Source organism: Homo sapiens, chromosome 8, assembly GCF_000001405.40.
Source record: "Homo sapiens chromosome 8, GRCh38.p14 Primary Assembly".
NCBI lineage: Eukaryota > Metazoa > Chordata > Mammalia > Primates > Hominidae > Homo > Homo sapiens.
In genome coordinates, this window is record NC_000008.11 from 23,343,685 (window position 1) to 23,369,355 (window position 25,671).

General features: G+C 48.4%; 1 protein-coding gene and 1 long non-coding RNA gene across 2 annotated transcripts in view, besides 1 other annotated feature; one reads left to right on the forward strand and one right to left on the reverse strand.

The window, feature by feature from the left end:
- The window catches only part of LOXL2-AS1 (LOXL2 antisense RNA 1), a 29,918-nt gene extending 7,477 nt beyond the window's left edge, over positions 1-22,441 (forward strand). The window contains exon 3 of the long non-coding RNA NR_038323.1: positions 19,442-22,441. This is a non-coding gene — a long non-coding RNA (LOXL2 antisense RNA 1). The remainder of the gene's footprint in view (positions 1-19,441) is intronic.
- LOXL2 (lysyl oxidase like 2) overlaps positions 1-25,671 on the reverse strand; it is a 107,224-nt gene that overhangs the window by 46,788 nt on the left and 34,765 nt on the right. The window contains exons 2-3 of the mRNA NM_002318.3: positions 24,313-24,750; positions 16,406-16,581 (exon numbers count right to left, since the gene is read on the reverse strand). Of these exons, the coding sequence (NP_002309.1) occupies positions 16,406-16,581; positions 24,313-24,667 (531 nt within the window). The 5' untranslated portion in view covers positions 24,668-24,750. The remainder of the gene's footprint in view (positions 1-16,405; positions 16,582-24,312; positions 24,751-25,671) is intronic.
- Positions 8,714-9,296: an enhancer, noted in NCBI's record as "H3K27ac hESC enhancer chr8:23209911-23210493 (GRCh37/hg19 assembly coordinates)". NCBI's record gives its function as "activates a minimal SCP1, AML or CMV promoter by ChIP-STARR-seq in primed H9 embryonic stem cells {active_cell/tissue: H9 hESC(primed)}" and the evidence as "EXISTENCE:reporter gene assay evidence [ECO:0000049][PMID:30033119]".

Below are 25,671 nucleotides of genomic sequence, written 5' to 3' on the forward strand. Positions count from 1 at the left end.
TTCCTTTCCACCACAGCAGAAGGAATGCTGCCAGGGGCAGGATTATGCCTTCCAGCCTGGATCCTGGATCCTTTACAGCCCTCATTCAGGCCGCAGGACCCGTGCCACCAAGACACGTGGACAGGGGTGAGCCAAGAAAGGGCCTGAGGTCTAAACCCAGCCCACAAGCCGGCCCTCTTCTGTCTCTTCCCACCTCGGGAGGCTGGGCTGGAATTCCAGTGTGTAACTGTCATGCCCAGAAGGAAAGTTACTGCCTAGCATCAAGACTGCACTTCACAGGGCAGGCGGCCCGGGCTGACCTTCAGTTCACAGATCCTTTCCCCTGCGTTGGGCAGCAGTGCAGGCTCGCTGCAGGGAAGGTGTGACCCCCAGCACCTGGCCACCACAGGAGGAGGAAGAAGGCCTGGCTGGAGGAGCTCAGCAGACCCCGCTGGAAAGAGCTACGCGGGCCTGAGGCCAGCACACACCAACCCAAACGCCAAGGGAGCTTGCTCTCGTTCCTGCGATGATGCGGGACAGTTTCCTCCGCTGAATAGGGCTGGTGGGGAGAGCCCCGGGGGCTCCACGATGAAGGCAATGCAGCCTGGAGAAGAGAAAGGGCTAGCACCGGGGGTCATTATCCTCATTCTTCCACCGACTCACTGCATACGTGTTTATGCATCTCTGTGTATGTGCATGGTGGTGTGTGCTTGATGGTCTGTGTGTGTGTGGTGTGTATCTCTGTGTCTGTGTGTGTGCATGGTGGTGTGTGCTTGATGGTCTGTGTGTGGTGTGTATCTCTGTGTCTCTGTGTGTGCACGGGGGTATATGCATGATGGTGTGTTTCTGAGTGTCTGCATGTCCATGTGTCATATGAGCCCCTGTATATGTCTCTGTGTGTGTGTCTCTGGGATTGTGTGTCTCTGGGATTGTGTGTCTGTGTGCATGATGATGTATGCATGACAGGGTTGTGTGTGTGTGCCGGTGTGTCATGTGGATCTCTGTGCACTCTCCCTGTATGTGTCTATGTCACATGGGTCTCTGTATGTATAAAGTGTGCATCTGTTTATGTGTCTTGTGGTGGAGGAAATTCTGAAAGGATCGTGTTCCTTGCAAGGCCTTAGGAAAACAGTCAGGACACCATTCGCACTCATTCCTTCAAACTGGACCGTCTTCTCTTCTTCTCCCTCCAAAGAACCAAAGCCTTTCCAGTCTTTAAGGCTCAAATCTACCGTATGCATTCATTTAACAAAATGCAGTCTCTGCCCTCCTTGGGCCTTGCTGGGCTTCCTCCTTACACCCCAACCACAGCGCCCTGTGTCAGCTTTGAATAATGACAGCTATGGGCATCATTTATCAAACACCAATTAATTGCAGGCTAGGTTCCATACAGAAAACTTTACATCCACTCCATTATTCAATCCCCATGGCAGCTTTCAAGATGGCTCATGGTCCACCTGTTTAGAGGTAAAAACATGATAAATCTTGGCAAGCTTTTGGAAGTTATCCAAGTTCACACAGCCAGTAAGTAGGTAAACAAGTATGCAAATTGAGTTCTGACCCCCAAACCCGTGCTCCAGGCTCATAATGACCACTGGTCTCTGAGCAGTCCTCATCTCATGCCTGTGTCCAATACATTGCCTGGTACTGAGGGTGACTCACCCAGGGCAGGGCCTGGAGCTCAGAATTCTGGGTGTCCCCTTCAACCAGCTGAAGGGTGCTGGTGCTGTGCACATTGGAAGCCCAGCACCCCATGTCGAGGGGCAGTGAGTCAGACTGGATTGTGTACGTGAGGGGAGAGCTGGGCTCCCAGCATTCTTGTCTTCAGGCCAGCGGGAGGAGGCAGGGAAGCCCTCTGGGGCACACATTCGGTGCTCACACTAGCTAACCAGCTCATGGAGACTGAGTTAGACCTCTTAGAAAACACGCCCACACACATAACCTCTCTCTTTACTTCACTGCTGTGGAATCCCTTCCATAACCACAAGTGTTAGGATACATTTTGCCCCAGGAGTTCAGCCCCAAAAGTGAAAAGAAAGTGTGAAATATTAAAATATACACACACTTTTTTTTCTTTTTTAAATGAAAGGCAGTCTAGACTTGCTAGTTTAAAATTCAGCCCCAGCCGGGCTCAGTGGCTCACGCCTGTAATCCCAGCACTTTGGGAGGCCGAGGCAGGCGGATCACGAGGTCAGGAGATTGGGACCATCCTGGCTAACACGGTGAAACCCTGTCTCTACTAAAAATACAAAAAATTAGCCAGGCATGGTGGCGGGCGCCTGTAGTCCCAGCTACTCGGGAGGCTGAGGCAGGATAATGGTGTGAACCTGGGAGGCGGAGGTTGCAGTGAGCTCAGACCACACTACTGCACTCTAGCCTGGGCGACAGAGCGAGACTCCGTCTCAAAAATAAAATAAAATAATAAAATAAAATAAAATAAAATAAAATAAAATTAAAATAAAATAAAATAAAATAAAATAAATAAAATAAAATAAAAAATAAAATAAAATAAATAAAATAATAAAATAAAATAAAATAAAATAAATAAAATAAAATAAAATAAAATTCAGCCCCAAATGCCAGAAGCTGGTCAAGCACCCTGCACATATTAAAATTCAAGCTAAAACCTGATGCTATCCCTCTTGCCAGAGACAACAGTGCACCCAGGACTCCAGAAAGCTTCCCTCCAAGAAAGACACAGAAACTCCAGGATGTGTGGTCCTCAGAGCTCATCACATCCTCTGGCAGGGCCTGAGACTCTGGGAGTGATTTGCACCCGTTCCTAGAAGGGAAAACCAAGGCACGACCATGCAAGGGACTTGTCACGTCAGCCGGAGAGGAAGGGAGCTCTGAGCTCTGACTCTCAGGTTTATGCCTAAATGACATTTCATATTTGCAGCATCTGTCCATGACTTGCAAATTCCAGAATGCGATAGTCTGGGGCTGTCGCCAATGAGGAAAAATCACCCATTTTGAAAGTCTAGCTGGAAGTTGCATCAGGGAAAGGTACAAGGAGAAGCAAGTCAAGCAAGCCAGCCTACATGAATCCACATCACAGTCGCTCTAAACTCTCAGCACCAGGCACGTTGTCTTAGCTCAGTGGTTGTTCTCCTTCCCCCTGTTCTAGAAGTCATAATTTAATATCAGCCCAGGCTTTCTGACCTGAGAAGTCATCCTGAGGGTGAGGAGGGGTGGCAGGACAATGCTGGGAAGACATAACATCATGCCAACATCTCAACGAGAATGCATGAGTGTCAACTCTAGCCAGCCTCTGCTCACCTCGCATGCAGCCTCCCACAACCACCAGCAAGTTCCTGCATCTTCCTCTCAGAGCCTGCAGCTTTCTTACTTTGGCTATTTAAAAACAAAACAGGGCAGGGCATGGTGACTCACGCCTCTAATCCCAGCACTTTGGGAGGCTGAGGTGAGCAGATCACTTGAGGTCAGGAGTTCAAGACCAGCCTGGCCAACATGGTGAGACCCTATCTCTACTAAACACACACAAACACACACACACACACACACACACACACACACACACACACTAGCTGGGTATGGTGGTGCATGCCTGTAATCCCAGCGACTCAGGAGGCTGAGGCAAGAGAATCACTTGAATCTGGGAGGTGGGGGTTGCAGTGAGCCGAGATTGCGCCACTACACTCCAGCTGAGGTGACAGAGCAAGACTCTATCTCAAAAATAAATAAATAAATAGGTGGGGCACGGTGGCTCATGCCTGTGAACCCAGCACTTTGGGAGGCCAAGGTGGGCAGATTATTTGAGCTCAGGAGTTCGAGACCAGCCTGACTAACATGGTGAAACCTCGTCTCTACTAAAAATACAAAAAAAAATTAGCCAGACATCTGTAATCCCAGCTACTTGGGAGGCTGAGGCAGGAAAATCGCTTGAACCCAGGAGGCGGAGTTTGCAGTGAGCAAAGATTGCACCACTGCACTCCAGCCTGGGCGAAAGACTGAGACTCCGTTTCAAAAAAATATAAATAAATAAATAATAAAAACAAAACAGGCTGGGTGTGGTGGCTCACATCTATAATCCTCGTGCTTTGAGAAACTGAAGCAGGAGGATAGCTTGAGGCCAGGAGTCCAAGACCAGCCTAGGCAACAGAATGAGACCTCATTTCTAAAAAAAAAAAGTTAAAAAATTAGCTGGGCACCAGCGATCCCATTACTGGGTATATACCCAAAGGATTATAAATCATGCTACTATAAAGACACTTGCACATGTATGTTTACTGCAGCACTATTCACAATAGCAAAGACTTGGAACCAACCCAAATGTCCTTCAATGATAGACTGGATTAAGAAAATGTGGCACATATACCCTAGAACTTAAAGTATAATTAAAAAAAAGAAAGAAAAGGTGGCACATATACACCATGGAATACTGTGCAGCCGTAAAAAAGGATGAGTTCATGTCCTTTGCAGGGACATGGATGAAGCTGGAAACCATCATTCTGAGCAAACTATCACAAGGACAGAAAACCAAACACCGCATGTTCTCACGCGTAGGTGGGAATTGAACAATGAGAACAGTTGGACACAGGGAGGGGAACATCACACACCGGGGCCTGTCGTGGGGTGGGGGGAGGGGGGAGGGATAGCACTGGGAGAAATACCTAATGTAAATGATGGGTTGATGGGTGCAGCGGGCCAGCATGGCACATGTATACCTATGTAACGGGCCTGCACATTGTGCACACGTACCCTAGAACTTAAAGTATAATAACAAAAAAAAAAATTAGCTGGGCACGGTGGCACCTGCCCATAGTCCTAGCTCCCAGGAGGCTGAGGTGGGAGAATCACTTGAGCCCAGGAGTTTGAGGCTGCAGTGAACTAGGATTGTGCCACTGTACTCCAGCCTGGGTGACAGAGCGAGATCTTCTAAGAAACAAAACAAAACAAAACAGTGGCCTCGGCCGGGTGCGGTGGCTCACGCCTGTAATCCTAGCACTTTGGGAGGCCGAGGCGGGTGGATCACGAGGCCAGGAGATCGAGACCATCCCTGCTACCACGGTGAAACCCCGTCTCTACTAAAAATACAAAAATTTAGCTGGGCATGGTGGCGGGCACCTGTAGTCCCAGCTACTCAGGAGGCTGAGGCAGGAGAATGGCATGAACCCGGGAGGCGGAGCTTGCAGTGAGCTGAGATCACGACACTGCACCCCAGCCTGGGCGACAGAGCAAGACTCCGTCTCAAAAAAAACAAAACAAACAAACAAAAAAACAACAACAGTGGCCTCCCAGATACAGACCCATGTCCCAACTGCCAGCTTGACACCTTCCTCAGCACCTGAGACCAAACACATCCAAGATGCCCTCAACTCTTCCTCTTTTCATCGAGTCATTGAGGGATGCTCCTGCCTCTAGCTTTGCAGACCTTCGTGACCCTCTCTCTTCTTCACTCATGCGCCCATTAAGCCCTAGCCAGACCTTCTTTGCCCTTCTATCAGCTTGCCATTCCCACTCCCAATTCCCAGTCAGCTGTGCAAGGAGAATCATGGGAACATAAGAAGGGCGTGATAATGTCGTCATCTCACCTAGGCCTGTGCTGTCTCCTCGCCTCTGGTTTCTTCTCCCATCCGTTCATCCTCTTTGACCACAGTGCATTCAAGGGTCTCGCTCAGATCTTCCTGGTGGTGCCTCCGCGTTAGGCCCATACCCTGCCATTCTCTGTCCCTTCTTTCTATCTATCAGAATCCTGCCAATCCTCAGGGAAAATGTTATTCATCCATTCAAAAATATTTGTCCAGTGCCACCATGTCCCAAGTGCTGTGTGAGACCCTAAAAGGACAGATAGGCATGGTCCTCGCTGTCATGTGGTCCCTAATCTAGAGGAGGAGAGGCAGCACCAGCATCTCTGTGAAGCCCCCTCCCCTGCCCCCAAATAGGACGTCCACACGTTTGATTTCTTCTTTATTCCTCCAGCACTGGCATTCTGGTGACTCATTGAGTTCTTGGCTTATACTGACTATCTTGCACTAGGGTTTACTTTTCCACATCCTTTTGCCACTCAATTGGACTGTGAATCCCCTAAGGGCAAAACTGTGCCTTATTCATTTTTGTATTACCCACACAGTAAGAAATTATTACTGGTTCCTTCCAACCATGTTTGAGGACCCACTATAGCCAGACACAGAGTGGGTCCCCAAACATATTTGGAAGGAACCAGTAATGATTTTTTCAAAATCCAACAACAGGAGTTTAGCTTAGCTAGACATGCTGAGTGCCCAAGTCCAACATTTTAATAAAGACTCTTTTTATTCTTTGTTTAATGCAAAATAAAGTTATGCAGTCCTCATCTCTCTTCCTAACATAAGCACGACTTGTGTGACTTATGGATAGACAGGAGAACATCTGTGCTTTGTCCAGGCATCCTTTTGTCACCTGAGCTCCCTAACACCCTCTCCCCTTTTCCCTTGAGATCTGACACCAACACATAGTTACTGAACTGAATTAAAAGCCGTCTGATCCTCAGCACGCAGTTAGATGGCTTGGCTAAGTGTGTATTATCTGCACACAGTATGAGGCATGCTGTACTCCAGGAGTCTGGCTATGTTGTAATTATCCCCTTTTGATGATCCAATCAGAAACTCTTAGTTTAAGAGGCTGCTGGGGGACTGGGCACAGTGGCACGCACCTGTAATCTCAACACTTTGGGAGGCCGAGGCGGGCAGTTCACCTGAGGTCAGGAGTTTGAGACCAGCCTGGCCAACATGGGGCTCTACTAAAAATACAAAAATTAGCTGGGCGTGGTGGCACGCACCTGTAATCCCAGCTACTCAGGAGGCTGAGGCAGGAGAATCACTTGAACCCAGGAGGCGGAGGTTGCAGTGAGCTGAGGTCACGCCATTGCACTCCAGCCTGGGCAACAAGAGCGAAACTCCATCTCAACAAAAAATAAGCTGCTGGTAACATTCTTTAGCCTGTGACTTCTTGATGGAAGAAAGTGACAGAGGAAAGGCATTTCAACAATTTCTGTTCCTCAGCTCTAGGCAATAGAGGCCAGTGGAGGCCTGGAGAGCTGAGGTCATGCTGACACCCCCAAAGGAAAGAGCCGGTAGTCTGTTGGGGTCTTCCTCCTATAAATCAAAAGCTTTGTAACACTGCTGGAAAACTGAATGCTCTGTGTTTCATTTTCCAAGCAGGCAGCCACTTGGGTAGGTAACAGAGGCTGCTTTTTTGGAGAACGGGCAAGCCCTGCTGTCAGCAGGAAGTCGGCGGGACACCTGCTCCAACAACCAGCCCCTGTGACCCAGCAGTTCCTCCTGTCCTGGTCAGGCCTGACCACCCACCACACAACCTCATGGTGAATCTGGTAGTTCTCTTCACAGCCATCATCACCATGGTAACACAGTCATGAGGCATGAGACTGTTTCTCCACTGCTGGATGGTAAGCTCAGGATGGGCAAGACGGTCCGTTCCATCACTCCCTTTATCCTCATGTCTAGTGTAGGGTCTGGTGCTGAATCAAAATGTATTGAGTGAATGAATAAACAGATCCTTAGCAACGGACTCCTGGGGATGGGGTCGGGGGATTCCTTGGCACTGACACCCAGCATGGCTGAGGTGACTCAAATAAGCCACTTAGGCTCATTGCAGAACCAGGCTGACCGCTGCCCACTCTGCCCTAGTCACATCACCAGACCTCCCTGCAGAGCGGACCTGCCCATCTAGGGCAGGGAGAGGCTTCCTCCAGCCCAGCTCAAGCCCCCACTTCCTCCAGATAGCAACTGTCCCACAGGTTTCCTCATTCACCTCTCTCTTCTCCAAACTGCCATGCCATTAAGCACCCAATCACATTCTTCAAAGTTTGAGTACATCCTGTTCATTTATTTATTTCATCTAAAACAAATTATAAGCCTCCTTATTCATGTGTGCAATCTAACAAATAAATAGAATGTTATGTATTGGTTTATTTCATCTCACAGAGTTATAATGGTATTTATACTTTTCAAAGCATTGTATCTGCAACACCTGGGCCAGAAACCAGGTTCCCATCTGTTATCCACATACACACCCTTTTGCATTTCAGATTTTCAGTTGGGAAAATAGGTCACCTTAGAACTACTTGCTTTGTGTGTCCCTTTTGGTAGCTGGCAAGCCCTGGCTACATATAGACTCTTAGTAAATAGAATCGCGGAATGTGAGGGCTAGACAGGATCTTTTTCTCTCTTTTTGAGATGGAGTCTCGCTCTGTTGCCCAGGCTGGAGTGCAGTGGCTGCAACCTCTACCTCCTGGGTTCAAGCGATTCTCGAGTAGCTGGGACTACAGGTGTACACCACCATGCCCAACTAATTTTTTGTATTTTTAGTAGAGATGGGGGTCTCGTCACGTTGGCCAGGCTGGTCTCGAACTCCTGACCTCAAGTGATCCCCCCCACCTTGGCCTCCCAAAGTACTGGGAATACAGGCGTGAGCCACCGTGCCCAGCCCTGGACAGGATGTTATACATCCTCTTGCCCAAGAAGGGCGAGAGACAAAACCCAGGAGAGCTACATCTAATTGTCCAGCCAGACAGTTGAGCAAAACTGAGAGTTCAGAGGCTGTGGGCCTCCACCATGGGTCCTTGTGCCCTTGCTGAAAAGTCCGGCACAAACTACCCCCTGGCTACCATTTCTCTTCCTCCTACAGAGAGAGGCCATCCAGCTACCCCGTGACCATCTGGGAATGGGGCCTCTATTTAGGCATGGGGGGACCACTATCTTCTAAACTGCACAGAGGTGAAAATAGGCCCCCTTTTTTCCCCAAACCACCCAGTGCAACCTCTCTGGTGGGAGTCAGGAGAAGGATGAGATTCCTGGCTGGGAAGGGTTCAGACTTTTCAGAAGTCCTTCTAGAGACCTTTCCCTTTTAGGCTGAAGCCCTCCACCCTCTGCCGCCCCCAGACAGACAGAGCTGCTGCTGGGAGGGCAATGCTGAAACATTTGGCAGCTAACTGTGACTAATAAAAACCTGGACCCAAGGCATTTAAAAAATTCACAGCAGCCTCAGTCTCTGTGGTTAAGATGAGAAGAAAGGGCTTTTTCAGGTCTCAGCGTCCTTCCAGAAGAACGCGAGAGAGCAGAGAATGGGGGACCAGGTTCTCCCCTTGGGTGGAAAGAAATGGCTTTCTCCTCGTTCTGTCCTCATCGTCCCTCTGTTGGCCCCTCAAGACCTCCTGGGCTGCCCACTTTCACAAACGGGAAACTGAGGCTTGGAGGTCACTCAGGGGATAGGCAGCACCTAAATCTCACAGCCTGGGGATTTTCCAATCAGTTCCGGCAATGGAATTGCTTTTTGCAAAAGAGCCTTTAAAGGATAGGTAAGGAAGGAGGTGGGGTGGGGTGGGGAGGGGTGGAGTGGGGTGGGGTGAGGTGGGGAGGGATGGGGTGAAGAAAAGAGAAAAGATGAAAACCTTCCCTGATCTAACGACACACAGCCCAGCCACAAGGCTTCCTGTGAGCACATGACTGGGCAACGTGCGGAGCAGCCGGGGAGCAGAGGTTTACTGAGTAGGGCATCTGGATTTGTCATCTTTCCTTATCTAATGCTTTTTCCAACTGGTCTACCCGCCACAGGCAGGAAACAAAGCCTCTCAATTTAAGAGGCTCTGAAATCCTGGGAGGTTTGGTTGGGGCTCTGTTTGCCAGGTTTAAAAGAGATCTGTTCGTTTGGAGCCAAGAGTGTTTCACATTTGCTTATTTGCTCCTACTTACCTCCTTTTAAGAAAGTTTTGAGGATTGACCTAAAACTGATTTTCTTTATATCCAGACAAACTTCTGTTTTATAGGACAGTGTCCAGAGGCCCAAGAAGGGTCAGTGACTGGACATAACAGCTGTGAGCTCCAGTCTCCACTGGGACTGGAACCCGGGGGTTCTGCCTTCAATTCTGGAGTCCGAAACTGAGAATATACAATAAGATATGATGGCACAGCCTGTATCAGAAAAGGGGAAAACTGAGAACCTGCCTGGTTAATTTCCTGGATGAAATAAACCAAGCCTAGTGAGTGATTCAGTGGTAGGACTAACCCAGGGCAGCACTTCGAAGTCTGCAAAGCACTTTTAGAGAAATCATCTGATTTTTTTCCCCTACAGAATATTTAAAACTACCTTGTAAATGATGAATGCACACTATGTCATTCTGATGAAGAAACCATTGCCACTGAACTACAGGCCGTCACAGCTGGAAGGGATTGAATTCAACTCACTCGACACTTGCCCAGTTGTTCTGGATGCTGGTCAAAAGGCAGGTTAGGGTACAAACCTTGGTGGGGTCACTTATATGAAGAAGGTGTGATTTTTTTTCCTCCTCTAGAGGGGAATTTACAAACTATCAGGAGCCCCCAAGGATGCTCCAAGCAGCTGTAGGAGTCCAGGGAAGCACAGTTAGCTCATTAAGTGAAATTCCATCAGCCAGGCTCCAGGGCTTAGTGACTCATGCCTCTGGCATTCCAGAGTAGGATGAATTTGGTCTAGACTGATGCAGTTTTCTTCCATTCTCTGCTTTGGGAATTCCAGTGCACTCTGGAGGAAGCATGGGTTGTGAGAGTCATCTGTAATGATCTGTGACCTGTCCCCAATCTCCAGGGGTTAATGAGGGTGAATGTTACAGAACCCAGCCCACAACCTTGCAGACAGAGTAGGCATGGGAAGGGACGCGGGTGCCCTCATCACATTCATTAGCCCAGTGGTCTACGACCAGGGTCACAAGACACAGAGAAATCATTCACTGACGTTTCATTCCTGGCCGCTTTTGAATCTGCCCCTTCCAAACTGGGGAAAGTCGAGGGAGGGCTTTAACTCTCACACTTTGATATGAAGAGTGAAAAGTCTGCACCTGGTTTCAAAGTCAAGGCCATCAGGGGCTGGAGAAAAGGCAAAGAGAGAACCCAAGCACACAATACACATGCTGGTTGGCATCCCTTCTCTGTGTGTGTGTGTGTGTGTTCTCACACACATGTGATGCCAGTTTACACATGGTGCGCGATGTCAATATCCAGCTGGGCACACACTATGTGGGATGAGTGCATTTTCCCAGACACTGAATAACAAGGGTCTTGAAACTTGGCAATCACTTAATCCCACTTCCCTCCCCATGTAGGCATCTGACCACAATACTCCTGGCAGGATGTTGTCCAGTTCGTGCTTGAATTCCTCCACTGACAAGGAGCTCACCACTAACTTAGGGTAGAGCTATCTACTGTGGGGCTTCCACTGAGCCTGAGATCTATCTTCCATCACGCTCCTCTCCGCCTTGGCTCTGGGAGTTGGAATATATATATATATATATTTTTTTTTTTTTTTTTTTTTTTTTTTTGAGACAGTTTTGCTCTTGTTGCCCAGGCTGGAGTGCAATGGCACCATCTCGGCTCACTGCAACCTCCCTCTCCCGGGTTCAACCTCAACCTCCCAAGTAGCTGGGATTACAGGCGTCTGCCACCATGCCCAGCTAATTTGTATTTTTAGTAGAGACGGGGTTTCACCATCTTGGCCAGGCTGGTCTCAAACTCCTGACCTCACATGATTTGTCTGCCTCGGCCTCCCAAAGTGCTGGGATTACAAGCGTGAGCCACCGCATCCGGCCGGGAGTTGGGATACATTCTAAACATTCTTCTGCATGGTAGTAGTTCAAGTATTTGAAGAGAACCATCTCCCCCCATATCTCTTTTCTTGACAAAAAACTTCATTTCCTCATGATATGGTTTCCAGATTTGTCTCCATCCTGTTGGCCTTTCCTCTGGTGACCTGGTTAAGATCTGGATCCAGAACTGAACCCTGCAGTCAGCGACTGGTCCAAAAGGCAAGGAGCTTAAGGAAATAATTCTTCTATCTGTAAAGCAGTTGACATTCACTTTTTTTTTTTTTTTTTTTTTTTTTTTTAGCAGCCCTATCATACTCTTGGCTGATACTGAGCTTTTAGTCAACCACTGCCGCTTCAAAGATTTGTTCTTTTTTTTTTTTTTTGAGACAGGGTCTCGCCCTGTTGTCACCCAGGCTGGAATGCAGTGGCACCATCATGGCTCACTGCAGCCTCCACTTCCTACGGTCAATCAATCCTTCCACCTCAGCCTCCCAGGTAGCTGGGACCACAGGCACATGCCACCATGCCACGTTAATTTTTTTAATTTGGTAGAGACACGGTCTTGCCATATTGCCCAGGCTGGTCTCAAACTCCTGGGCTCAAGCAATCTGCCCACCTCTGCCACCCAAAGTGCTGGGATTACAGATGTGAGCCAACCCAACAGGCCTTTTAAAAAAAAAGATCAATAGTTTTTCAGTTACTCTCCCTAAAGTCTGCACTCTGTGACTGTTTTTTTCCCCATGAACTTTGATATAGGACCTTCTATTCATCCCTAATATGTTACAGCTTGGGCCCATTATTTCAACCTACAGCAGTTTTTCTGAAAGTTCATTCCATAATTTTATACTCCAGCAATCTCTCCTAGTTTTGTATCTCCCATAGATTTTATCAGTATACCTTTTAATTTCCATGAACATTCCTGATACATGATGGGGAGGCCGGAACAGAGCCCTAGGGCTCACCATCAGAGACCATCCACTCTGTTTACACAAATTAGTCAGCAGTTCACCCTGGGTATCATTAGTCAGTATGTTCATGACTTCACCCAACTGCACGTCCACAAGCTATGTCTCTTCCTCTTATCCACAAAAATTTAATAGCAGGCATTTCTTTAGCTGGGAGGAATGATCCTATGACTTCAGCTACTGATACAGGCCATTCCAGAAGGTATTTTGGAGAAACGTCTCAGCATCCCATAAATATCCCACGTAGGTGGTCCAGGCGGTTCTCTACCCATCAGGCCAGCACTGCCAGTAAGCATGAGCCTTAGCCACAAAGCCCTGGATGCAAGAATCTTCTGGCAACTCAAGGAGGTTCTCCCCAGACATCCTGAGGTCTAGGCCCTTTCATGACCTACTTTCAGCGGCTACCAAAGGGAAGAAGTTGCAGGGGACTGATCATCAATGAAAGTTCCCTAAGTCTCTGTGGTTGGGCCAGAAAGCGTCCCCCTGGCTCGTGGTCACCAGCCTGATCTGTCTGACAGCCAGAGGGAGGCCTTCTAGGAAAATGCAGAGTGTGTAAGGCTGTGGATGTCACCTGGCCCTTTAAGCCAGACATCTCCATAGGTTGCCCTCTCTGGGTTTCTGGAGATTTGTGAGGGCCCATGCTCCTTGCCTTGGAAGGATCTCCAGCTTTCTCCAAGGCGTACATCTTGTCTTGCAGGTTGTAAGGGCTGGAGGACAAGGGCCATGTTTTCTTTCCCTGCTGGTATCCCAAACCAGCAGGTACCCAACAAATGCCCAGAATAAAGGTGGGGCTAAGCTTTCCCATCATGGAATCTCAGCCCTTCCACAGTAAGAAAGTCGTCTCCAACATATTTTTTTTCAGTCTTCTTTTTTTTTTTTTAGACGGAGTCTCGCTGTTGTTGGCTCAGGCTGGAGCGCAATGGCAGGATCTCGGCTCACTGCAACCTCCGCCTCCCAGGTTCCAGCAATTCTCCTGCCTCAGCCTCCTGAGTAGCTGAAATTACAGGCACCCACCACCATGCCTGGCTAATTTCTGTATTTTTAGTAGAGATGAGATTTCACCATCTTGGCCAGGCTGGTCTTGAACTCCTGACCTCAGGTGATCCACCCACCTTGGCCTCCCAAGTGCTGGGAATTACGGGCATGAGCCACTGCGCCCGGCCTTTTTCAGTCTTTTCTGTGTTTATTCCACCCCATGAAAATTCTGCTTTTGAAATGACCCATCTTATTTCGCCCTGGAATTATTAAGCATTGGAACTGGCACTTAGTAGGTATTCCACAAACAGTGTGTGTTAATTTAATTGTTTGGGTAATCTAATCTAATCTAATGAAGTGCCACTCAGAGTCCTTTTTCCAAAATCATTTTTTTTTTCCTAATGGCAGATGAGCCTTCTCATCATTTTCTCAACACAAAGCTCACTGATGTTTTGGCCTGTCTTATTTTTTTTTTTTCAAGCCATCAATGATCAATGACTTTCTTATGCCAAGAAGGCTGGGTCTTCACTGGACACTCCAAGTAGATTATCCTGAGGTTCAGGTTGAACAGAGGCCCATCTAAGATGTTACAAATCAGCTCATGGTCCTATTAGGCAGAACAAGCTGTGAAGAAATTATTTGCTTCCATGTGCTTCTCATTGCTGTTTAGCTTAATATTTTATCCTGGGAGATTCTCCACCTAAGGGGATAATAATTTCTGGCTCACATTTCTGGGGAGAAGAGAATTTGGGAGTTGGAGATGTTGTTCCCATTAGGTACCTAGAATTTATCTATTGCATACAATGATACATAAGATATAGCCCCTGCCCTCTGGGAGCTTCCAATCTCATGGGAGAGATAAGATCCACATAAGTGGGGGCTAATTATTGCTCATGAGGTTATAAGGAATGAAGATGGAAAATTTTGTGAAACTGGGTTGGACAAGCCCATCCGTCAGATCATAAACTTCATGGTAAAGAAAGCAAAGCTGTCATCAGTGACTGAAGACTGACGAAAGTATATCAACTCCATCACAATCTCTCTAGTTATCTTCAATAAAATAGCAGCATTTGACAGGTGTCAACCATAAGCAGTCTCCTCCACAGCTGAGAGAAGCCTGGAAATCCTTTCCTATGCTATACAGCAGGGTTGGGCAAATTCCCAGCACGCTTGGGAACATATATGGAGAGAGAAGGACTGTGTGAGCCATGACAGTAAAGGCCACAGTCTTGGGAGAACTTCCTCTGGAACCCAAGTAGGGCAATTTCAAGTCACCTTTCTTCTGCATTAGTGCTGGGTTCAGCTGGAGGCTGAAGCACAGCGAAGGTTCCTTGGTCTGGATTTGGGGCAGATCCCATAATCCCTTGGGGGTGGCATCTGACATGTTCCTTGAGGACAGGAGTGTTAGCTGCCAATTCCTCCTGTCCTAAGCCCCACATATGTTGCACATAAGAGTAATGTAATAAGTGTGTGTTAACTGTTTGGATAAAGAATTTGCTGGAAAGCTAACCCTGAAATTTAGCCATAAATGTGGATTTTCAAATGCTGAAATTATCAGTCTGGCAACATCAGAATCAATCTGGGGCTGCTTAAAGAAAAATAACCTAGTCCCATAGCAGGATATTTTGAGTCAGCGGGTCAGTGGGGAGGCCCCAGTACCTGCATTTTTTTTTTTTTTTTCAGACAGTCTCGCTCTGTCACCCAGGCTGGAGTGCAGTGGTGCGATCTCAGCTCAGTGCAAGCTCCGCCTCCTGGGTTCACGCCATTCTCCTGCTTCAGCCTCCTGAGTAGCTGGGACTACAGGCACCCACAACAACGTCTGGCTATTTTTTTTTCTTTTTTTTGTATTTTTAGTAGAGACGGGGTTTCACCGTGTTAGCCAGGATGGTCTCGATCTCCTGACCTCGTGATCTGCCCGCCTCGGCCTCCCAAAGTGCTGGGATTACAGGCATAAGCCCCCGCGCCCGACCCAGTACCTGCATTTTTAAAGTGATTCCAACCCTCAGCTACATTGGCCAGTGGTAGCCAGCTTCCAAGATGGCCCCAGCAACCCTACCTGGTGTCACACATTTGTGTAATCTCCTCCCACTCTCTACCAGAGTTAGTCTGTGTGATCCATAGAATACAGCAGAAATGATGGCCTATCACTTCCAAGATTAAGTTATGAAACATGACTTCCATCCTGTGTTCTTTCTCTCACTCTCCTTTGCCTCACTCACTCTGAGGGAAGACAACCACCATGTCCTGAGGCCACTCAGGCAGCCTACGAAGAGGCCACATAGAGAAGAACAGAGGGCTGCAGTCTACAGCTAGCAAGGAACCACAGCCTGCCAACAACCATAAGAGCCTGCGTGGGAGGGGACCTTCCAGCCCCCATTGACAGCCTGAGTGCAACTCCATGAGAGACGCTGAGGAGAATCAAGTAGCTAAGCCCTTCCTCAATTCCTGACTCTCACAAACTGTGCAAGATAATAAAGATTCACTCTTTTCAGCTGCAAAACCTGGGGGCAATTTGTTACGCAGCAATTGATAACTAATACATTTTCCCACCCAAAGGGCAAGCTCCTGAGCATGGCACCGGAGGTGTTTCATGCCCATCTTTCCAGCTTCAGTTAACCCTACTCCCAGATGCACTCTCCCTGAGATCACGCTCTGCTTACCCCAGCCCAACCTTCACACCTCTGTGCCTCTGCCCATGCTGTTCCTTGTGCCTGGAATGCCCTTTCCCCATGGATGGGATTCCCTTCTCCAGAAATCCTTCCCTAAACTGCCCTTGTATCTAATCCCATTGGGTGAGGTACCCTCCTTCCTGCTCACACACACTTCTTGAAATCAATACGCAAAAAGCGAGTTGCATGGAAGAGGAAAAATGTTTGCATGAAGGAAACATCAAGAGCACATGACTTGCCTCTATCTGGTTGATCAACGAATTGTCAAATTTGAACCCAGGAATCCTTTTGTCGCTGCACACCACACCGACATCCTCCGTGTGCTTGCAGTCAGTGACGCCCCAGCCATTGGAGGTGCATGCTGCAAGGGTCGCCTCGTTGCCAGTACAGTGGAGATTGTCTAACCAGATGGGCCCTGAAGGAGGCAGAGAGGAGAGAAACCAAGTGCTGCGTCAATGCAGGTCTGAGTCTTTGCGGGGCACCAGTGTCTCACATGGAAAGAGAATTTTTCTCTAATTTTGGCAGCTGTGTGTGGCCATCCATTTTTATTATATTAAGATATTGCACATAACTCTAAACCATGGGGATTCCTGGACCACAGTAAGCACCTGATGTGATCTGGGAATGTAGTAGATTTAACATGATTAGGATAGAAGTTAGATTTAAGCCCAGAAGTTGCATGGGATAGTGGAAAGAGCGGGGCTTTGGGTACCAAGCTGGGTTTGAGTTCTCGTTCAGCCACTTAGCTGTATAACCTTGGTCAAGGGCCCTTTTTCTTATCAGTAAAGTGGGGCTAACAATGACACTTCAGCTGCACAGCTGTGTGCAGATTAGAGATACTACGAAGCCTGTGCCTAGTTCATTGCTGGTCACAGTTACTAAAAATAGTGATGATGATGATAATGATGACGATGATGATGATGTTTTAGTGACACTGATTATGGCATAAGCCAGTCTCACCTTCCATCCATAGCAGAGGCTGAACTTTGACCCTTCAGGGAAAAAGTAAACTCTCCTGCCACTGAAGGTTTGAGGTTTGTGGGGTTTTTTTTGTTTTTTGTTTTTTTTTTAGACAGAGTCTTGCTCTGTCGCCAGGCTGGAGTGCAGTGGCGTGATCTTGGCTCACTTCAACCTCCGCCTCCCAGGTTCAAGTGATTCCCCTGCCTCAGCCTCCCAAGTAGCTGGGACGACAGGCGCATGCCACCACCCCTGGCTAATTTTTTGTATTTTAGTAGAGATGGAGTGTCACCATGTTGGCCAGGATGGTCTTGATTTCCTGACCTCGTGATCTGCCTGCCTCAGCCTCACAAAGTGCTGGGATTACAGGCGTGAGGCACTGCGCCCGGCCTGGTTTGAGGTTTTTAAGGCATTTTCACATGTAGTATCTCCTTGGTTTTCCCATAGCAAGAGGACGAAGTGGCATGATTATCCCACCACCCCTTGAACCCAGAAGCCTGGGCCTTGACTTCCTATTCAGCTCCTCTTACTTCCCAATATTTCCCATCGCTGGCTCAGAGACAGCCCAGCCAGACTGGCCCACGGAGCCACCTCATCATGTTTCAGAAGGCCGCCAAGGGACTCTGCTTACCTCCTGTTTTTTTGCCTCACTTGCACTAAGTAGAGAATTCAGCGTGCAAAGTGTTAGAGGGTGAACCACAGTGAAACACCACCTCACACCCTTAGGATGGCTACTATCAAAAAAACAGAAAATGGGCCAGGCAGTGGCTCACGCCTGTAATCCCAGCACTTTTGGAGGCCAAGGCAGGTGGATCACAAGATCAGGAGATCGAGACCATCCTGGCCAACATGGTGAAACCCCGTCTCTACTAAAATACAAAAAATTAGACAGGCGTGGTGGCACGTGCCTGTAATCCCAGCTACTCGGGAGGCTGAGGCAGAGAATCGCTTGAACCCGGGAGACAGAGGTTGCAGTGAGCTGAGATCACACCACTGCACTCCAGCCTGGTGACAGAGCAAGACTCCGTCTCAAAAACAAAACAAAACAAAACAAAACAAACAAAAAAAACAGAAAATGACAGTGCTGGCAAGGGTATGGAAACTGGAACCCTTGTGCACTGTTGATGGGAACACAAAATGGTGCAGCTACTATAGAAAACAGTACGGTGTTTCCTTAAAAAATTAAAAATAACATTACCATATGATCCAGCAAAAGAATTGAAAACAGTGTCTCTAAGAGATATCTACACACCTGTGTTCATAACAGTATTATTCGCAATAGCCAAGAGGTGGAAGCAACCCAAGTCTCCATTAACAAAATGTGGTCTATCCATACGATGGAATATTAGTCAGCCTTCAGAAGGGAGGAAACTCTGAAACCTGCTGCAATAAAGACACTATGCTAAGTGAAATAAGCCCATCCCAAAAGACAAATATTGTATGGGGTATCTAGAGGAGTCAAATTCATTGAAACAGAAAGTAGAGTGGTGGCTGCCAGGGCCTGGGATGAGAAAGAAATGGAGGTGGTTGTTTAATCGGTGCAGTTTCAGTTTTGCAAAATGGAAAAGTTCTGCTGATGATGGTTGCACAACAATGTGAATATACTTAACACTACTGAACTGGACACTTAAAAATGTTTAAGGCTGGGCTGGGCACAGTTCATGCCTGTAATCTCAACACTTCGGGAGGCCAAGGCGGGAGGATCATTCAAGCTCAGGAGTTCGAGACCAGCCTGGGCAATATAGCGAGGCCTCATCTCTACTAAAAATCAAAACATTTAGCTGGGCATGGTGGCGCACGCCTGTAGTCCCAGCTATTCAGGAGGCCAAGGTGGGAGAATTGCTTGAGCCCAGAAGGTTGAGGCTGCAGTGAGCTGTGATTGTGCCATTGCATTCCAGCCTGGGTGACAGGGAGACCCTGTCTCCAGAAAAAAAATCCAAAAAGTTAAGGTGGTAAATTTTATGTGATGTACATTTGGCCATAATTTTTTTTTAATTATAAAGTGCTAGAGGATTTTCAAATAGTGATTTTTATAAGTGCCACTGCAAAATGAAAGAAAACAAATCTAAACCTCTCATTTTTCTCACCGCTCCTTTTAGGAGTCTAGAGCAGCAGACATAGTCAAACAAACCTGGGTTCAAGTTCCATCTGCCACACACTGGGGCACTGTGTGATGTGGTCGACTACCTCACCACACCTGCTTCTCATTTCTAAAGGCAAAATAATGATGCTGAGCAAACAGGTTGCCATGGAGACTCAATGAGGTAATGTATGTGCCTGGTACGCTTTCAACCTCCCTTTCCCTTTCCTTCTTCCAGTCCTTCAGAAAAGCAATGCATTCTACTGCTTCCACGATGTAAGAGAAAAGCAAATAAAAACATTCCCATTGGAGAGATTAGAAAACCAAGGAAAGAAACGGAGGCTCTTCAAGGTCGATAAGCACCCCGGGGCCAGTCTCCTGACGTCCAGGCCCTGCTGAAACGTGTCTGTTCTCACGGCTGCTGGTCAGGGCTCAAACGACAGCACCTTGGATCCATTGTGGAGAACAAAGAGCTAATTGAAAACATCTGGGCTGAGGTTTTCCAACTGGCTTCTCATTTTGGCCCGGTTTCCAAGCAGTCAAGCTCCACTGAAACATACACTCCCTAATCGATTGCTGTCTCAACAACAAACCAATGTTTGTCTTGCTAAGTTACTAGCAACAGGGAAGACCCTCCATGTTCTAAGCGGAATGTTCTGTCGCAAAGCTGCCAAAGTGACAGAGATGGTGAAAAGCAGTGGCACCCTATTCCATCTGCAGTGAGAGAAACCCCCCTCGCTAAGGACCTGGAAGTCGACCAGTGCATCATCAAAGGAACTGAGAACAGCTGCAAACCAGAGACCCTAAGGAGCCTGCCCCAAAGAGCTGCTCTCTTATGAAACTTCCATGGACCCCCAATAATCTTCCATGGACCCCTTCCACATATGCTTGGTCAATTTCTACTTAGATGGCAGATATGTGAATCTGTACTTAGCCCAAGACAGCATCACCATGCATGGTATACTCGTTTGGCCTGATTTCATAACAAAATTTTTTTTGTTTTTTGAGACAGTGTCTCACTCTGTCACTCAGGCTGGAGTGCAGTGGTGCAATCATAGCTCACTGCAACTTCCGCTTCCCAGGTTCAAGCAATTCTCCCACCTCAGCCTCCCAAGTAGCTGGGACCAAAGGCGCATGCCACCATGCCCAGCTAATTTTTGTATTTTTTGGTAGAGATAGGATTTCACCATGTTGGCCAGGCTGGTCTCGAACACCTGACCTCAGGTGATCTGCCTGCCTCAGCCTCCCAAAGGGCTGGGATTACAGGCATGAGCCACTGCAAAGGGCCCTTTTTTTTCCCTCTACAGGCTTAGTGCTTATTAACTAGACTACTCCGATTCCAATGCAACCAGCTTCTGGGTCTGCCTGCTGAAAAGCAGGGCGGTTCTAGGTACAATCCAGTAGATGCCTCCTCAGAGCTGCCAGGAAAGCCGTGTCCTTGGGACACAAGATGACAGTCAAACTTTGGACACAAGAAAGCCATTCAATCAGAAGCCAAATTTTATGTTACTCTTTGCTTCCAATGCCTCTCCTGATGAAAGAAGAGATAAATATATATATACAAGTTAACAGATCATTAGGAAGGTGAAAATCATAAATGAAATTCAGTTGGAATGCCAGAGCCCAGGACAATGGATATTATTCAAGTTAGACTGTGTGGGGTCACAAATGGGTGCAGTGGGTCACGCCTGTAATCCTAGCACTGTGGGAGGCCAAGGTGGGCAGATCACTTGAGGCCAGGAGTTTGAGATCAGCCTGGCCAACGTGGGAAAACCCCGTCTCTACTAAAAATAGAATTAAAAAAATCAGCTGGGCCTAGTGGCGCACACCTGTAATCCCAGCTACTCGGGGGGCTGAGATGGGAGGATCACTTGAATTCGGGAGGCGAAGGTTGCAGTGAGCCTAGATCCCACCACTGCACTCCAGCCTGGGTGATAAAGCAAGACTCTGTCTCAAAGAAAAGGAAAGAAAAAAATCTGTGGGGTTACAACAATGTGGTTATCGCTGGCTTCGTCGCTGTGGTCTAAAGAATGAGGGATGTGACTGGGAATAGGCTTAGCCTCCTGATTCTGAAGACAGGTGAAGGAGAGCAACCACCTTAGCTTCAGCTGCTATAACCTCGAACAGGGGTTGAGAATCAGGACAGCTGCTCCCTCCAGAACTCCCTAAAAGGGCCTGTGGTTTACCTGAGCTCAGAGATGCTTTGGGAGAACAGTCTGTGAACAGGCCAGGCTAGAAAACCCAGAACGTCCCTGGTGCCCTCCCTGGTTTCACTGCTCCAGCCTGAAGTTCAGAGGAGCTTGAGGGGTCCTGGAGGGGCAGTCTTATCCACGGTCTGACCGGCACGTTAAGCCCCTAAGCCCCACCGGAGCAAGCCCTGGGCGCTGGCCACTTTCTGTGCTCACTATACCCAGAACTCTTTTGCCAACTCTTTTTCCTATTCTGCCAAATCAAAATGAATCAATTAGCTAATATTCACTGAGTGCCCACCATGTACCCAGTGATAAAGATCTGGACTGATGCTGGTGAAATTCAAATAAATTTAGATGTAAAAAGGTCTCTCATGTCATAAACGAAGCACCACTTCACGTAAGCAGCTTAACTCGTAAAGCCGTGAACACAAGACAGAGTTTTTTTTTTTTCAAGCATCTGTTTCTTTCTCCTCTCTTTGATGTTATTCCTTTTATAAACCTTGATGATTTCCATGTCCACAAAGATGACCTTTCCAGTACTCCTGGTCTCTTCGTTAATACACCTCCTCTCTCAGAGACTGTCCTCCATCCTGCTCCAGCCGCTGTCCCATGGTCATAGCTCAGGTCTCTCATTACCAGAGATTGCACCCACCCTTCAATCTCCATTTCACCTTTCCTGCTCTGCACCCACACACAGCTCCCTTCATCTTTTAGTAAACTTCTTGTATCTCCATCTGAACAGAGACTCGCAATCCAGTGATCACAGCAGCTATGCACAATCCTTCAACTTCTCCACTTATTACAACCCTCCTTACCCAGCACAGTCTCCTTGGACCATGAGTTTAATCCTTCCCTTTCATATTCCCTCCACTCCTTGGAACTTTTCACTCTTCACCACGCTTGGATGGCAAAGTCCCACCTGGGTAAAAACCTGTCTCCTACTACCCCGTGCCTGCTCCTGATAGGGAAAAACCACAACCCCCTTGTCTGACAACAGGTGTTTTAAATTGAGGTTGAAATAAAATTAAGTTGTCACTGGAAAAATACCCAGTCACTGGAAAGCATTTGTTATAAAATAATGAGCGTTGGAAAGCCTGGAATGGAAAACATGAATCTGAGGTTACCCCTGGATCGCTCAGCCAGCCGGATAAACAGAGATGTGGAAGTATCGGACGTTTGTTTAAAGAAGACAGGAAGTGGGTTCTAAAGCCCAGCATTTGCTAACTTCACTGCTGTGGCTCTCATCGCCCAGAGCAAGCTGCAGAGAACATTTGACTCTGTGCTGTCTCCTGATCCAGTTACCCCAAAAGGAAATTTTCAATTGCATGGAGGTGAGATGTGTATGAGATGGGACTTCCTTTCTCCTATAATTTCTAGAATAACAGAAAAGTTGGAAGGGAGGATAACAGTTATCAATTTCAATGACTCCCAAACCTGTCACTTTGCAGACTTCCAAAAGAGACAGAGTCCTGGGCTCCAGCCCAGACCTTTTAAACTAGATTATGGTGGGTTGAGGTCTGCGCTATTCTGTACTTTTAAGCTCCCTTGGGCGATTCTTACGCAGTCAGCATGGCATTAGCCCTTTAGTCCAGGACAGGAGTATAGGCAGCTCTGCTTTAGTCCAGTAGCCAGACTTGTGCTGAGGTCTGGGCTGCAGCTCAGCCGGGCGGGAGGGTGTGGGAGCTTCCTTTGCCTGGCTGACCCAGAGATAGGAAACTCTTAGCTCCTGGAAAAATGTTTAAAAAGAAACAATTCCCTCCACCCTTATCTCTTTCCTATTTGGGAACATACACTGTCAGGGTTTCAGGGGTTCTTAGCCCAACTTCCAGATGGGGAAAATGAGGCTGGAGAGGACATGCGTCTTCCTACAAAGTGTGGTGTCAGAGGTCAGTACAGACTGAGCTCTAGGTTCAGGGCTTCAAACTTTGTCCTGCCTCAAAGCTGTTAAAGCAATTTTTTGGGTTTTTGTTTTGTTTTTTGTTTTTTTGAGATGGAGTCTCGCTCTGTCACCCAGGCTGGAGTGCAGTGGCGCGATCACGGCTCACTGCAGCCTCCGCCTCCCGGGTTCAAGCGATTTTTGTGCCTTAGCCTCCTGAGTAGCTGGGACTACAGACACTCGCCACCATGCCCGGCTAATTTTTGTATTTTTAGTAGAGATGGGGTTTCCCCATGTTGGCCAGGCTGGTCTCGAACTCCTGACCTCAAGTGATCATCCCGCCTCCGTCTCCCAAAGTGCTGGGATTACAGGTATGAGCCACTGCGCCTGGCCAGCTCTTAAAACAATTTTTAAAAATAAACTAATAAATTTGAACCTCACAAGGGAGGAAAGAATAGGCTAACCAACGGTGAAAAACCCAAAGCATCTGTGTGCCTATTGTGACCAAGCCCACAATAGCAGGTTAGTGTGAAAACGATGAACTCCACATGCCAGGAAGGTGGGGGGCGTCAGGGAGCTCCAGCATGTGGGAGCCATTGTGAGGAAGAGCAAGAGGCTTTCCTAACAGGGAACGATTTGGAGTAAAGCGCAACTTCCTCTGGGCTGACGCAGCCCCCAGGCAGGGCATATGGGGCGGAGAGAGGAGCACAGGCCGATTTCACCCCCTACCTGGGGTCACCAACTGTCCTGGTTTTCCTGAGGTTTTCCCAGGATGTGAGACTTTCTGTGCTAAAGCCAGGAAAGTCTTGGGCAAATCAGTATGGTTGGTCACTTACTGTGCCCCTCCTCAAGCCCCCCGACCCCGCCTTCCTGCAGGGTGCAGCCTGAGTGGGCACAGAAGGATGCCAGTCCCTGGATGGGCATCACCAAGAATTTACACTTCGCAGTGCGTGCAGCCTCCTCTCCCAGGCTGACCTCAGGGAAGGCCACTCCGGGCCTTGCCAGGTGACAGCACTCAGATCCAAAGCACAGAGCGTTTACCTTCTCCCTTGCCGTAGGAGGAGCTGGCAGTCCAGGACTTGGCCTCCACGTAGCCCAGCTCCCGGCAGACGACGTGGGCAGCGTGGATGGAGAAGTCGTCATCGCACACGGTGCCCCACTGGCCATCATAGTACACCTCCACCCGGCCCTCGCTGTGCTTCCTCTTCTGCCCAGCCAGGCGCAGCTGAATCTTGGCCACGTTGGCGGGGGCCTGGGGCTGGTGATACTCAGGAGCCGGTTGCTGGAAGTACTCGGGGTAATGGGGCCAGCTGTCATACTGTGCCAGGCTCAGGGGGGACAGGAGGGCCAGCATAGCCAGGCAGCTGCAGAGGTGGGAGCACAGAGGCCTCTCCATCCCTGTCTTCGGGCTGATGATCCCACGAAGGGGCCCTGCGCAGCTGGGAGGGACAGGCGGGGTACAGAAGCAGCAGGAGCTTTCTGGAAGAGAGGAGAGATGCGTTAGGATGGGAACGTGGGGCTACGGAGACCTACATAGAGAACCAGCGATTTCATACCCCTTGGCTTAATATGGAAAGCTCGTCCATTCTCGACGCCAATCCAGCCCCACTCCTACATTTCCACCATGCAGGGCTGGGAGGTCCCACCTCCTTTACCTACTGCCTTGTCATCTCTCTAGAATGCTTTTTCCAGTAGAGTTCCTGGCAGGGAACAGAACACACTCCAACTTAATTTAAGGAGAGTTTTTTAAGACTACGGACATGCCGGCAGAGTTCTGCAGAACTAACAAAGGCCGGTGTCACACCCTAGGGCTGGCGACTCAGAGGGGGCTGTGACCACCCTAGGCTTGAAGGGAGCCTGCGGGGGTGAGAACTGGAGACTGGCAGAGGGAGCTGTCTCTTAGGAGCTGTGGCCCTCACTGGAGGGTCTCAGAGCCAACCCATGGCAACGGCGGGGACATGGGAGGGAGAATAAATACCTGACTCCCTTTCCTCCCGTCTTTGAATCATTCTGGTGCCTCCTATTAGGCAAACCCAGCCCCCTTCAACTCGAAGCCACTGGCAAGGGAGCTGAGCCCATTGAGGGAGCCCGTGTGGGACAGCCTCCTGGAACATGGGGGCCGGTGGAGAAGGAGCGGGTCTGAAGGGGTGAGGGCAGGATGTTCAACACACCCACCCTCCATTAAATGAATGGCACCCCAAAACACTACAGGAACATTTGCTAGATGAATTATAATTTTCCCGTCAGCTTTGAGGGCTGCAATGCTAAATGAGTTTTAAAATCCTCAAGGTCCTGGTCATCGTATCTGGTGGAGCCTACCTCTAAGAATTCCCGAGTGAAATCATGTAGCAAGAGACCTCGTGTATCTTGGTCCTCCCGTAATTCAGAGAAAAGAGGAGA